This window comes from Homo sapiens, chromosome 8 (genome assembly GCF_000001405.40).
Source record: "Homo sapiens chromosome 8, GRCh38.p14 Primary Assembly".
In the NCBI taxonomy this organism is placed as follows: domain Eukaryota; kingdom Metazoa; phylum Chordata; class Mammalia; order Primates; family Hominidae; genus Homo; species Homo sapiens.
The window spans coordinates 61,841,333-61,857,446 of record NC_000008.11 but is presented as its reverse complement, the minus strand read 5'-3'; the positions used below and the strand labels follow the sequence as shown (position 1 = coordinate 61,857,446).

General features: G+C 38.8%; 1 long non-coding RNA gene across 2 annotated transcripts in view; it reads right to left on the bottom strand.

Moving 5' to 3' along the window:
- Positions 1-16,114, bottom strand: part of LINC02842 (long intergenic non-protein coding RNA 2842) — a 77,208-nt gene that overhangs the window by 4,808 nt on the left and 56,286 nt on the right. For both annotated transcript variants that reach the window (NR_187554.1, NR_187553.1), the window contains exon 4: positions 4,671-4,788. This is a non-coding gene — a long non-coding RNA (long intergenic non-protein coding RNA 2842). The remainder of the gene's footprint in view (positions 1-4,670; positions 4,789-16,114) is intronic.

Sequence of the window (16,114 nt, the reverse complement as noted above, 5' to 3'; positions counted from 1 at the left end):
ACCTCAATTTTAGAAGAAAAACATTGAGTTTTCACCACTATTTATTATGTTTCCCATAGGTATTTTATAGATGCCCTTTATAAAGATGAGGAAGTTCCCTTTATTTCTATTTTTCCAAGAGTTTGTAAAATCACAAATAGGTACTGAGTTTCATCAAATTTTTTTCTGCATTGATTGTGATATAATCATGTAATATTTCTTCTTTAGCTGGTTAATATGGTATATTTTGTTAAATAATTTTAAAACATTTCACAAGCCTTACATCCCTGGAATAATCCCACTTGGACCTGGTGTAAAACTTTTTATATATAGTTGACCCTTGAACAACACTCTCCCTTAATCCCTGTCAACCAGTTATTTTTGTTTACTGCTACATAGTTTTTCCTTTTCCAGATATTATATAGTTGGGGTTATACAGTACCTACTTTTTTCAATTTAGCTTATTTTACTTAGTAATATACTTAATAGGGTTCTCCATGTTTTTCATGGCTTGATGGCTTATAATGCTGAATAATATTTTATTGTATGAATTTGCTGCTGTTTATCCATTCACCTTCTAGAAAACATCTTGGTTGCTTCCAAGTTTGGGCAATTATAAATAAACATCAATGTGCAGGTTCTTGAGTGGACATAAGTTTTTAGTTTATTTGGGTAAATACCAAGGAGTATGGCAGCTGGGTTATATGCTAGAAGTATGTTTAGTTGTTTAGTTTAATCACCCTTTTTACAATTTTACTTTAATTTAACTGCAGTATTTTTAAGTGTATTTCTTTTTACATAATTTTTAGTAGTTGCACCAGGTATTACATTATAAAAAACTAGTGTCAAATGTATATTGGTGTATGAGTGAAGCATAAAAACTTACCCCTTTTTAAGTTATTTATCCTCGCCATTTAAAATTGTTTTAAATATTTCCTATACATATATTGAGAACCACATCAGAAAATATTATAATTTGTCTTCAACCAACAACCATAATTTAGAAGGGAAAGTACATTAAATTTAGCCATTTTTGCTGCCATTTCCTTATTCCTCCTTGATTTTATATTTCATTTGTTATTGTTTTCTTTCTGTTTAGAGAATTTTCTTTAAACATTCTTTTAGGATAGGTTTCCTGATGACAAATTCTTTAATTTTTTCTTTATCTGAGAATGCATTGGTGTCCCCTTCATTCTTGAAGGATAGCTCCACTTAATGTTGGATTCTGGACTGAAAGTTCTTTTCTTTCAGCACTTGAAAAATGTTGTGTCACAGCCTCCTGACCTTCATAGTTTCTGATAAGAAATCTTTGAGTTATTTTCCCCCATGTTTTTTCTCTCTTGCTGATTTCAAAATTTTTTCTCTGTTTTTATTTTTCAGAAGCTAATGTGTTTGTGTGGTTTCCTTGAGTTTATCTTATTTGATATGCACTCAGCTTCTTGAATCTACAGTACTTTGCTTTTGTCAAATTTTGGAAGTTTTCAGCCATTATTTGTTCAAGTATTTTATCAGCTCTGCTTTTTGGCTCCTCGCCTTCCAGAACTTCAGTGATACATAAGTTATACCTTTTGTTTTAGTCTCACAGGTCTCTGAGGCTCTGTTCATTTTTTTTTTTCAGTGTAATTTCCCTATTGTTCAGATTGTATAATGTCTATCGTTCTATCTTCAATTTCATTGATATTTTTCCTCTGTCCTCTCTATTCTGTTCTTTAGCCCATCCATTTGGTTTTTACTTCTTTTATTGAATATTTTTAGTTGAAGAATGTCCATGTGGGGCCGGGAATGGTGGCTCACACCTGTGATCCTGACATTCGGAAGGTCAAAGAGAAAGGGTCACTTGAGTCCAGGAGTTTGAGACTAGTCTAAGCAACGTAGGGAGATCCTGTCTCTACAAAAAAAATTTAAAAATTAGCCAGTGTGGTGGTGCATGCCTGTGATCCCAGCTACTTGGAAGTCTGAGATAGGAGGATCACTTGAGCCTGGGAAATCAAGGCTGCAGTGAGCCATAGTTGCACCACTATACTCCAGCCTGGGTGACACAGCAAGACCCTGTTTCAAAAATAATAACATAAACTAAAATATGGCCAGGCACAGTGGCTCATGCCTGTAATCCCAGCACTTTGGGAGGCCAAGGTGGACGGATCACCTGAGGTCAGGAGTTCGAGACCAGCCTGACCAACATGGTGAAACCTTGTCTCTACTAAAAATACAAAATTAGCTGGACGTGATGGTGCAGACCTGTAATCCCAGCTACTCGTGAGGCTGAGGCAGGAGATTCGTTTGAACTCAGGAGGCAGAGGTTGCAGTGAGCCAAGATCGCACCATTGCATTCCAGCCTGGGCAACAAGAGCAAAACTCCATCTCAAAAAAAATAAATTAATTAAAAACAAAAATAAAAAATATATAAGATAAAATAAAATAAAATATTTGGTTATTATCTCTTCTATTTTTTCTGAGACTTTCTATATTTTTCATTTCTTCGAATGTGCTTGCAAATGCTCATTGAAACATTTTTATGATGGATGCTTTAAACTATCAGATAATCTAATATTTGTCTTTCAGCGCTGACCTCTGTTGTCTTTTTTCATTCAATTTCTTTCCTGGTTCTTGATAATGATTAGTAATGTTTTTATTAAAACCTGAACATTGTTTACATTTTTATTAGATTTTAGATCTTATTTACACCTTCTGGTTTGGCTGTCTTCCTCTGACACCAGTCTGGGGTGAGAAGAGGAGGTACCACCTCATTACTGCCAATTGGGTAGAGAAGTCCAGGTTCCCCATAAACTTTCACTGACACCTGATGGGGAAAGCTCTTTGTTATTGCTAAGTGGAAGTGGAAATTCTGGTGTCTTACTGAGCCTTCACTTATACCTTCCTGGCTGGTGTGGGCTGGAGTGCTTCATTAGTGCTCCATACTTTGTCACCACTGACATCATGGGAGAGGTGTGACTTCCTTACTGCTGGGAAGTTGTGAAAATATTTACAGTAGGTCTTTTCTGAAACTACCTCAGTGGGAAAGTGAAGGGGTACCTTATTATTGCCAGGTGGGGGTAGAAATCCAAACTTCTCACATACACTGATCCTGTGGGAAAGGGGGAAGGGGCTCATTAATGCCAGGCACAGATGGCCTTATCTGACACCACCCTAACGGGACAGTTGGGACCCTTTGCTACAGCCTTGAAAAAGTAGAAATCTAGGCTCCCCACTCATGTTTGCTGACAAGGGTGGGGCGGGGCCACAATTCTTTCCGTGGTTTTTGGTTGAAGTAGTCACTATTTTCTAAAGGTTCTCTCTTGCTAGGCTGTCCCTCTCCTACTCCTTACATAAGCGAGAAAGAGCTTTTGTTAGGGCATTCTTCATCTAAACGTGTTGGTACTTCCGGAGTTCTGGCTTCTCCAGCCTCTAAACTGGTATATATAAAACAAAAAATAAAACCTAGGGAACTCACCAATGTGTTGTTTTTTAATCCAAAGTACCTACTTGGTCTGCTTTCTTCTCTCCAACATTCAGGGTATTTTTGCATTTATTTTATATTTAATGTCCAGGTTTTTAGCTGTACTTAGTAGAAAGAATTGGGAGAAGTATGTCTACTCCATTTTCCTGGAAGCATAAGTTTGTCTCCTATTGCCTTCTTTTGATTTACATAACTGGAGCTTCAATTCTCATGTGTTATTCACTATCAATGCATGGACTGCAGGTATATGTGGGCTCCACCTGACCTATCAAAAACCGAGAAGTCAAGGGTTGTTAAGAAAAATAATGAACATGGTTGTGGAGGACTATTCCCTTCTGAGCAGAATCCACCATACAAGTTTTCTCCAATGTTGTCTTCCATAATTCAGCAATATAGAGAGACATCAGCAATTCTGATAGCAGAGCAGGTAGTCATCTAAGGAATTTTTTCTTGTAGGCACATGGATGCCCTAAGGCAGGCATCTCATTCTTAAGTCTGGGGAAGTGTTCCCTTCCCCAATTCCAAGAATCTTGGCCTCTTGAAAAATGAGACTTCCTCTTCTTCTGAGTCATATTACTATTGTTGGTTGGAGAGATGTCACCTCACAGCAATGGAAGGAAAATCCCTAATCTGACACTTCTAGGAATGTAGAACCTGGGGCTACTTACTTAGCACCTTTGTTCTCAGGAGTGGAAAAAGATCACCTTCTGCATTTGACACTATCATGCTCAAATGCAAATTAAAGGCTGGGTTACCAAGTCCTGAACTTTTCTCTTCAGGAAACTCTGAAGTCTACATTGAGTTTTCCACTCAATACAGGCCTAGGTCTAGTATTAGAGAGACTTATGAGAACACAGCAGAAGGAAGAGCTTATAATATCCTTTCTGTATGAAAAATATATGACTTGAGCTTGCTAAAGCTTAAGGGAGTAAATTGGACTCATTAATGCTGGTACTCATATAAAGTATTGATATTCTCAAATTTTATGCCATTTAAGTTTGAAAAATCATTTTTAAAAGATTTCAATATTTGTTCTCCATAAGTATTAGCCACTCACCTATTCAATCTCATTAACTTTCTATTCCTCACAATTGAAGTAAATGAACTTAATAAGCAATAATTCTTTCTCCTGACTCACTAGCTTGTTCCTTTCTCTCTGGAATTAATAAATAACAATCATCATCAAGATTCTTCTTATTCAAGGAAGTTAGAAAATATTATTGTTATTGCTTACCCTTTCAGTTAATGTAGTGGTTTCATTTTTCCTAGGTTTTATTGGAATTTATGGTCACAGTAGTAGTCAAACACTATACCCAAGAGGTTTGAGATGATGATGGAATAATGAAGAATATCTGCAAAAATGTACATATGAATAGTTAACAAGTGAATGGAAATGACAAACACTGTGACACTATGATATTTAAATTATTAAGATATTCTCAAAATATTTTGCATATTATTTATTGTATAAACTTACAATCTCTCTTTTTCTAATTTTCCTTTCTCTAAATATTTTTCCATGAGTATATCCTGTATTCTTATTTATAATCTTTAAGAAGTAATTACATTAAAACGGAACTAATTGTGGTAATTTCTGTACCTCTTAAATGAAAAGTATGTGCTTTAAAAAGGAAATATAGAGGTGCTATCTCTTTCCCCAATTCCACTAAAATAAAAATATCTGTGGCATTCATGGGAAGCTTAAACAGAATAATTTTATGTATAGCTCCAAACTTGGGAACAGTAATAGAGAATGAGTGGAGGCAATCTTCCAAAATAAAAAGCCTATCCAAATAATTTGTGAATGTTGCCAAAATATAAAGATGGTGTTGTACAGATCAGTCTATGTAGAAAACTCTCATTGGAGAAACATATTTTGTTTTATTCAGTCAGCAGAAAATACAAGAAAAATTGTAGATTGACAGAAAAGAAAAATTATAGTTCACTTTTCAATTTTGGTTTGATGTAGAATCCAGGTGAATAAATATTCCACATAATACCGTATACATTTAAAAGATTAGGCTTCTGGTTTCAGTTGTAACACATAAAAAGCTTGGAAGTCATTAATCCCATCTTACAGTAAGAAAAAAAAAGCTAAAGACACTGAAAAATAAATTTCCCAAGGCCCTTCAGAAAATTGGCCTGATGACCTAAAACAGAGAAGCTGAGGCAAAATTAATATAAGTAGAGAGTTTATTTGGGCCAAATTTGAGAAATGCAACCCGGGAGAGTAGATTCAAGGTGCCCTGAACACACACTCCTATTAGCAGCAGTTACAAGCAGATTTTTAAAGGCAAAAAATGGGGGAACAGTGAGTGGGCTGATAGAAACTTGTTTGTTTCTCATTGGTATATAGAAAGTTGTTTCTTATTGGTTTATAGAAATAACACTTATTAATGATTGGCTATACATTCTTAAGCTACAGGGTATAGGTTAGAGTGTCCTGTGTGGCATTATTAAGGTAATTTATAGCTACTTGTAACAATAGCAAGCAGTTTCAAGAGAAGAATACGTAACTCAAAGTGGAGAGTAGGATGGGATTGCTGTTTCATCTTATTGTCTAGGCCTGATAACTAGTAGAACTTGCCTTCCTCAGATAAAAGCTCTTTTATTTTCTCATTTCCCTTTTTTGATCAAAAATCTTTATTCTTCAAAGAACTGATGATCAAAAGTTGAGTGTCAAAATGTCTGTCATTGCTGGGAAGATTCGTTGCTGAGTAGTGCTGTCAAAGTCACTGATCTATGGCTGCTGTCACTTGTTGAATTATACCTACTCATTTGAGTACTAAGAATTTAGTTTTTTCAGAAGAAGAAAAACAACAAGAAATAAATAATGTTTAAAAATTAAATAGAGGGGGGAGGAGCCAAGATGGCCGAATAGGAACAGCTCCGGTCTACAGCTCCCAGCATGAGCCACACAGAAGATGGGTGATTTCTGCATTTCCATCTGAGGTACCGGGTTCATCTCACTAGGGAGTGCCAGACAGGGGGCACAGGTCAGTGAGTGCAGTGCACTGTGCGTGAGCCAAAGCAGGGCGAGGCATTGCCTCACCTGGGAAGTGCAAGCGGTCAGGGAGTTCCCTTTCCTAGTCAAAGAAAGGAGTGACGTAAGGCACCTGGAAAATCGGGTCACTCCCACATGAATACTGCGCTTTTCCGACGGCCTTAAAAAACAGCGCACCAGGAGATTATATCCCACACCTGGCTCAGAGGGTCCTACACCCATGGAGTCTCACTGATTGCTAGCACGGCAGTCTAAGATCAAACTGCAAGGCAGCAGCGAGGCTGGGGGAGGGGGGCCCACAATTGCCCAGGCTTGCTTAGGTAAACAAAGCAGCCGGGAAGCTCTAACTGGGTGGAGCCCACCACAGCTCAAGGAGGCCTGCCTGCCTCTGTAGGCTCCACCTCTAGGGGCAGGGCACAGACAAACAAAAAGACAGCAGTAACCTCTGCAAACTTAAATGCCCCTGTCTGACAGCTTTGAAGAGAGCAGTGGTTCTCCCAGCACTCAGCTGGAGATCTGAGAACGGGCAGACTGCCTCCTCAAGTGGGTCCCTGACCCCTCACCCCTGAGCAGCCTAACTGGGAGGCACCCCCCAGCAGGGGCAGACTGACACCTCACACGGCTGGGTACTCCTCTGAGACAAAATTTCCAGAGGAACGATCAGACAGCAGCATTCACGGTTCACAAAAAACCACTGTTCTGCAGCCACCGCTGCTGATACCCAGGCAAACAGGGTCTGGAGTGGACCTCTAGCAAACTCCAACAGACCTGCAGCTGAGGGTCCTCTCTGTTAGAAGGAAAAATAAGAAACAGAAAGGACATCTACACCAAAAACCCATCTGTACATCACCATCATCAAAGACCAAAAGTAGATAAAACCACAAAGATGGGGAAAAAACAGAGCAGAAAAACTGGAAACTCTAAAAAGCAGAGCACCTCTCCTCCTCCAAAGGAACGCAATTCCTCACCAGCAACGGAACAAAGCTGGATGGAGAATGAGTTTGATGAGCTGAGAGAAGAAGCCTTCAGACGATCAAACTACTCCGAGCTACAGGAGGAAATTCAAACCAAAGTCAAAGAAGTTGAAAACTTTGAAAAAAATTTAGAAGAATGTATAACTAGAATAACCAATACAGAGAAGTGCTTAACGGAGCTGATGGAGCTGAAAGCCAAGGCTGGAGAACTACGCGAAGAATGCAGAAGACTCAAGAGCCGATGCGATCAACTGGAAGAAAGGGTATCAGTGATGGAAGATGAAATGAACGAAATGAAGCGAGAAGGGAAGTTTAGAGAAAAAGAATAAAAATGAAAGAACAAAGCCTCCAAGAAACATGGGACTATGTGAAAAGACCAAATCTACGTCTGATTGGTGTACCTGAAAGTGACGGGGAGAATGGAACCAAGTTGGAAAACACTCTGCAGGATATTATCCAGGAGAACTTCCCCAATCTAGCAAGGCAGGCCAACATTCAGATTCAGGAAATACAGAGAACGCCACAAAGATACTCCTCGAGAAGAGCAACTCCAAGACACATAATTGTCAGATTCACCAAAGTGGAAATGAAGGAAAAAATGTTAAAGGCAGCCAGAGAGAAAGGTCAGGTTACCCTCAAAGGGAAGCCCATCAGACTAACATCGGATCTCTTGGCAGAAACTCTACAAGCCAGAAGAGAGTGGGGGCCAATATTCAACATTCTTAAAGAAAAGAATTTTCAACCCAGAATTTCATATCCAGCCAAACTAAGCTTCATAAGTGAAGGAGAAATAAAATAATTTACAGACAAGCAAATGTTGAGAGATTTTGTCACCACCAGGCCTGCCCTAAAAGAGCTCCTGAAGGAAGCACTAAACATGGAAAGGAACAACTGGTACCAGCCCCTGCAAAATCATGCCAAAATGTAAAGACCATCGAGACAAGAAAGAAACTGCATCAACTAATGAGCAAAATAACCAGCTAACATCATAATGACAGGATCAAATTCACACATAACAATATTAACTTTAAATGTAAATGGACTAAATGCTCCAATTAAAAGACACAGACTGGCAAATTGGATAAAGAGTCAAGACCCATCAGTGTGCTGCATTCGGGAAACCCATCTCACGTGCAGAGACACACATAGGCTCAAAATAAAGGGATGGAGGAAGATCTACCAAGCAAATGGAAAACAAAAGAAAGGCAGGGGTTGCAATCCTAGTCTCTGATAAAACAGACTTTAAACCAACAAAGATCAAAAGAGACAAAGAAGGCCATTACATAATGGTAAAGGGATCAATTCAACAAGAAGAGCTAACTATCCTAAATATATATGCACCCAATACAGGAGCACCCAGATTCATAAGGCAAGTCCTGGGTGACCTACAAAGAGACTTAGACTCCCACACATTAATAATGGGAGACTTTAACACCCCACTGTCAACATTAGACAGATCAACGAGATAGAAAGTCAACAAGGATACCCAGGAATTGAACTCAGCTCTGCACCAAGCGGACCTAATAGACATCTACAGAACTCTCCACACCAAATCAACAGAATATACATTTTTTTCAGCACCACACCACACCTATTCCAAAATTGACCACATAGTTGGAAGTAAAGCTCTCCTCAGCAAATGTAAAAGAACAGAAATTATAACAAACTATCTCTCAGACCACAGTGCAATCAAACTAGAACTCAGGATTAAGAAACTCACTCAAAACTGCTCAACTACATGGAAACTGAACAACCTGCTCCTGAATGACTACTGGGTACATAACGAAATGAAGGCAGAAATAAAGATCTTCTTTGAAACCAACGAGAACAAAGACACAGCATACCAGAATCTCGGGGACACATTCAAAGCGGTGTGTAGAGGGAAATTTATAGCACTAAATGCCCACAAGAGAAAGCAGGAAAGATCTAAAATTGACACCTTAACATCACAATTAAAAGAACTAGAAAAGCAAGAGCAAACACATTCAAAAGCTAGCAGAAGGCAAAAAATAACTAAAATCAGAGCAGAACTGAAGGAAATAGAGACACAAAAAACCCTTCAAAAAATCAATGAATCCAGGTGCTGGTTTTTTGAAAAGATCAACAAAATTGATAGACTGCTAGCAAGACTAATAAAGAACAAAAGAGAGAAGAATCAAATAGACACAATAAAAAATGATAAAGGGGATATCACAACCGATCCCACAGAAATACAAACTACCATCAGAGAATACTACAAATACCTCTACACAAATAAACTAGAAAATCTAGAAGAAATGGATAAATTCCTCAACACATACACTCTCCCAAGACTAAACCAGGAAGAAGTTGAATCTCTGAATAAACCAATAACAGGATCTGAAATTGTGGCAATAATCAATAGCTTACCAACCAAAAAGAGTCCAGGACCAGATGGATTCACAGCCGAATTCTACCAAAGGTACAAGGAGGAACTGGTACTATTCCTTCTGAAACTATTCCAATCAATAGAAAAAGAGGGAATCCTCCCTAACTCATTTTATGAGGCCAGCATCATCCTGATACCAAAGCCAGGCAGAGACACAACCAAAAAAGAGAATTTTAGACCAATATCCTTGATGAACATTGATGCAAAAATCCTCAATAAAATACTGGCAAACCGAATCCAGCAGCACATCAAAAAGCTTATCCACCATGATCAAGTGGACTTCATCCCTGGGATGCAAGGCTGGTTCAATATACACAAATCAATAAATGTAATCCAGCATGTAAACAGAACCAAAGACAAAAACCACATGATTATCTCAATAGATGCAGAAAAGGCCTTTGACAAAATTCAACAACCCTTCATGCTACAAACTCTCAATAAATTAGGTATTGATGGGACGTATCTCAAAATAATAAGAGCTATCTATGACAAACCCACAGCCAATATCATACTGAATGGGCAAAAACTGGAAGCATTCCCTTTGAAAACGGGCACAAGACAGGAATGCCCTCTCTCACCACTCCTATTCGACATAGTGTTGGAAGTTCTGGCCAGGGCAATTAGGCAGGAGAAGGAAATAAAGGGTATTCAATTAGGAAAAGAGGAAGTCAAATTGTTCCTGTTTGCAGATGACATGATTGCATATCTAGAAAACCCCATTATCTCAGCCCAAAATCTCCTTAAGCTGATAAGCAACTTCAACAAAGTCTCAGGATACAAAATCAATGTACAAAAATCACAAGCATTCTTATACACCAATAACAGACAAACAGAGAGCCAAATCATGAGTGAACTCCCATTCACAATTGCTTCAAAGAGAATAAAATACCTAGGAATCCAACTTACAAGGGATGTGAAGGACCTCTTCAAGGAGAACTACAAACCACTGCTCAAGGAAATAAAAGAGGATACAAACAAATGGAAGAACATTCCCTGCTCATGGGTAGGAAGAATCAATATCGTGAAAATGGCCATACTGCCCAAGGTAATTTATAGATTCAATGCCATCCCCATCAAGCTACCAATGTCTTTCTTCACAGAATTGGAAAAAACTACTTTAAAGTTCATACAGAACCAAAAAAGAGCCCGCATCACCAAGTCAATCCTAAGCCAAAAGAACAAAGCTGGAGGCATCACACTACCTGACTTCAAACTATACTACAAGGCTACAGTAATCAAAACAGCATGGTACTTGTAACAAAACAGAGATATAGATGAATGGAACAGAACAGAGCCCTCAGAAATAATGCTGCATATCTACAACTATCTGATCTTTGACAAACCTGAGAAAAACAAGCAATGGGGAAAGGATTCCCTATTTAATAAATGGTGCTGGGAAAACTGGCTAGCCATATGTAGAAAGCTGAAACTGGATCCCTTCCTTACGCCTTACACAAAAATCAATTCAAGATGGATTAAAGACTTAAATGTTAGACCTAAAACCATAAAAAACCTAGAAGAAAACCTAGGCATTACCATTCAGGACATAGGCATGGGCAAGGATTTCATGTCTAAAACACCAAAAGCAATGGCAACAAAAGACAAAATTGACAAATGGGATCTAATTAAACTAAAGAGCTTCTGCACAGCAGAAGAAACTACCATCAGAGTGAACAGGCAACCTACAAAATGGGAGAAAATTTTCGCAACCTACTCATCTGACAAAGGGCTAATATCCAGAATCTACAATGAACTCAAACAAATTTACAAGAAAAAAACAAACAACCCCATCAAAAAGTAGGCAAAGGACATGAACAGACACTTCTCAAAAGAAGACATTTATGCAGCCAAAAAACACATGAAAAAATGCTCACCATCACTGGCCATCAGAGAAATGCAAATCAAAACCACAATGAGATACCATCTCACACCAGTTAGAATGGAAATCATTAAAAAGTCAGGAAACAACAGGTGCTGGAGAGGATGTGGAGAAATAGGAACACTTTTACACTGTTGGTGGGACTGTAAACTAATTCAACCATTGTGGAAGTCAGCATGGCAATTCCTCAGGGATCTAGAACCAGAAATACCATTTGACCCGGCCATCCCATTACTGGGTATATACCCAAAGAACTATAAATCATGCTGCTGTAAAGACACATGCACACGTATGTTTATTGCGGCATTATTCACAATAGCAAAGACTTGGAACCAACCCAAATGTCCAACAATGATAGATTGGATTAAGAAAATGTGGCACATATACACCATGAAATACTATGCAGCCATAAAAAATGATGAGTTCATGTCCTTTGTAGGGACATGGATGAAATTGGAAATCATCATTCTCAGTAAACTATTGCAAGGACAAAAAACCAAACACTGCATATTCTCACTTATAGGTGGGAATTGAACAATGAGATCACATGGACACAGGAAGAGGAACATCACACTCTGGGGACTGTTGTGGGGTGGGGGGAGGGGGAGGGATAGCATTGGGAGATATACCTAATGCTAGATGATGAGTTAGTGGGTGCAGCGCACCAGCATGGCACATGTATACATATGTCACTAACCTGCACATTGTGCACATGTACCCTAAAACTTAAAGTATAATAATAATAAAAAATAAAAAAATAAAAAATTAAATAGTAGAGACAGTGCACAATCAAAAGAGGATTTGTGTGCCACAACAACAACAACAAAATCTATTTCATCAGGGCATCAACTAAAACTGGGTTCTTTTATAAAGAAAATTAAACTGGGATCTTTTATAGAGATTTGTTGTTGCCAAGAAGTGATTCAGCATCTACTCCAAATTGTAGACAAATAATAAAACTCAAGAATAACAAACAAAGCTATAAGCTAACAATAGATGTACTATAACTTCCTTCTGAAACATACTTTTTTTCTTTTACCACTTCTCCATTTTTATCAAAGATGATCTTAGCAGGACCAATTTATTTGCAAAACAAGTTTTAGTCTTATTATACTTGGCCTCCTTATTTGCATAAAGTGCAACAAGAATACAGAATGGCCATATAGGTTATTTTAAAGTTGGCTTTGCTGGGACTTATTTCATAGGAAATTTCAGATGAGACTTTTAAAACCCTTGAGGCTAACCAAGTGAAAGACTTTTCATTAGACTGTCTGTAATACTTGTACAAATTGAGTGAATTCCTATCTTCTCAAGGTGCCAAAATAACTTGAGGATCCTGGGCCGGTCAGAAGATAACACTCTTTACCTACTGCAAGAATAGAAACTTTGTAAAGGAATCACGTAAACAAGGTACAGGCTGTTTATTGGCTCTGTAAACTCAACCTGCATTCCCCAAAGCAGTCTGGTCATATTTGAAAATATGCCATTCCAGTTAAAGCCTTGGTAAAATTACCAAGGAGGAGGTTTAATAGGCAGAAGAGAAGAGAAGAGAAAGAGAAACAGCCCAAATAAGAGGTCCAAATGGGACCAAGTAAGCCCAAATAAGACCAAAATGTGAGAGGTCAAAATTCAGGAGAACTGACCAGCGACAACTGGTGGGACTTCTGAAGACAAATGGTCATGCTGGTACCAAATGCCACATTCAGATGGTTGGGGTGGTCACTCTGAATCCTGCTGACTTATGCCAGATATGTCAACCTAAAAGGTATTGATAAAAAAGGGGGACTATAAAATCCAGCAAATTTGCCACCAGCCAGTCCATTCCACTAGGAGACCCCTCTCTATATAGACAGAGAGCTGTTTCTCTTTCTCTTCTCTTCCACCTATTAAACCTCCCTCCCTATTAAAAAAGAGTAAAACTCTGTAAAATATTTGGAGGGATTTATTCTGACCCAACTATGAGTGGCCAAAGCCTAAGGCACAGTCTCAAGAGGTCCTGAGAACATGTGCCCAAGGTGGTTGGGTTACAGCTTGATTTTATACATTTCAGGGGGCAGAAGTTACAGGCAGATATCAATCTATTCATGTAAGATGTACATTGGTTTGGTAAGGAAAGGCAGGAAAACCTGAAGCAGGGTAGGGGCATGCCTCCAGGTCATAAGTGGATTCAAAGATTTTTCTAACTGGCAATTGATTGAAAGAGTTAAGATATTATCCAAAGACCTAGAATCAACAGAAAGGAGTGTCTGGGTTGAGATAAGGGGTTGTGGAGACCATGGTTTTTATTATGTCAATGAAGCCTCCAGTTAGCAGGCTTCAGAGAGAATAGATGAAAAATGTCTTTTATCAGACCTAAAAATGTGTCAGACTCAGTTAAATCTGTCTTGCATCAAGAAACGATCTGAAAACAAAGGGAGATTCTCAATAGGATGTAGACGTTCCCCACAAGAGACAGCTTTGCAGTGCTATTTCAAAATATGTCAAAGGAATATATTTTAGAGTGAAATACTTCAATTTCTTTCAGAGCCTGCTACCTATCATATGATGCTATATTAGAGCCAGGTTGGAATTTGATATTTTGTGCTACAAAGAGTCTGTTTTGTCACTCTTAAGATCTCTGTTTTACTGTTAATGCTGGTTAATTGTGCCTGAATTCCAAAGGGAGGAGAGTGTAATGACGCATGTCCAACCTGTCCATGCCATTGTGGCCTGAACTAGTTTTCCAGTTTTACTCTGGAATGTCTTTGGCCAAAAGAAAGGATCCATTCCGTTGGTTAGGGGCTTTTAATTTCATTTTTGGTTTACAAAAGAAGAGGCTGAGGCAAAATTAATATAAGTAAGAAGAAATTTATTTGTGCAAATCTTGCCAATTGCAACCAAAGAACATACATTCAAGTTTCCCTGAATACACACTCCTATTAGCAGCAGTTACAAGTGGATTTTTAAAAGCCAAAAAAAAAAAAGAGGGAGAGAATGAGTGGGCTGATACAAGATTGTTTGCCAGGAATTCTTGTTGGTTTATAGAAATAATATTGATTAGTGATTGGCTATACATTCTTAAGCTATAGGGTGTGGTTTATAGTGTCCTGTATGGCATTATTAGGTTAATTTTTTTTTTATTTTATTTTTTTGAGATAGAGTCTCTCTCTGTCACACGGGCTGGAGTATAGTGGTGCAATCTTGGCTCACTGCAATCACTACCTCCCAGGTTCAAGCGATTCCCCTGCCTCAGCCTCCCAAGTAGCTGGGATTACAGGCGCACACCACTACACCTGGCTAATTTTTGTATTTTTAGTAAAGACGTGGTTTCACCATGTTGGCCAGGCTGGTCTCAAACTCCTCACCTCAGGTGATCTGCCCGCCTTGGCCTCTAAAGTGCTGGGATTACAGGCGTGAGCCACGGAGCCCAGCCTATTAGGTTAATTTATAGCTACTTGGGGCAATCAACCAGTTTCAAGAGATGAATACATAACTCAAGTGGGGGAGTAAGGTATGATTTGCTGTCTCATTTTAATCTCTCCCTGGGCCAGATCTTTAAAAGGACTTGCGTTCCTCAAATAGAAGTTCCTTTTTGCCTTCAGTTCACAGGGAAAATTGCCAGCCCAAAATCTGAAGAGACAACTGCATATAGGGAAGTGCAGTCAAGATCAGCTTATCTGGTTCAAATGCCAGTAGAGCCACAAGCTGGTAGGAACACTTAAACAATAACCTTGAGGAAGTGCTAGAAGTAAAATGTACACTAGTATGAGAGGGAGAGATTCCTGGTATCTAGAGCCTTAGGGGACCCCTTTTTCAAGGCTTTTACCTCTAGGAACCCCACCATGTTCTCATGCTGAAGAGCCAAGAAAAACCCTTCATGTTTCTGGCAGGAAGAGGATAAGGAAATAACCATTTTGGAATATTTCTAGAGCCTTCTCCATAGCAAAGTCCAATCCATACAGAAAAACTTTACGAAAGCCTCATCTGAGAGGAGAGAAGGGAAATAACCCAATTCCCGTACATTCCAGCCTTTCTATCTCACTTAAGGAGGAGAGAAACTAAGACTTGAGAAGTTATCAACTGAAGAAAGACAAGGTTCATAAACTTGGAAAGGAGAACTGTATTTCTCATAAAGGGCTGCAGCCTGCAGGTTGGCCATTCTGGCAGGTTGGTCATTCTGACAGGTTGGGAAGCATAGCCTCTATACTTCTCGGGAGGGGCAAAGGGAACAGAATTTTTGCTGAGTAGGGTTTCCAAATATACATATTTGATAAGCTATAGGAGTCATGAAGACTTATAAAAGGGGAAACATACACACCTGAGGCTGAGCTTGATGCTCCTTCATGGGTCCTGTGAAAACGTAGTGGCATTAGCATGATTCAAGGGTGTTTTCAGGCATCCAACATCAAAAGGTAAAGCAGAGGACATGAAAATC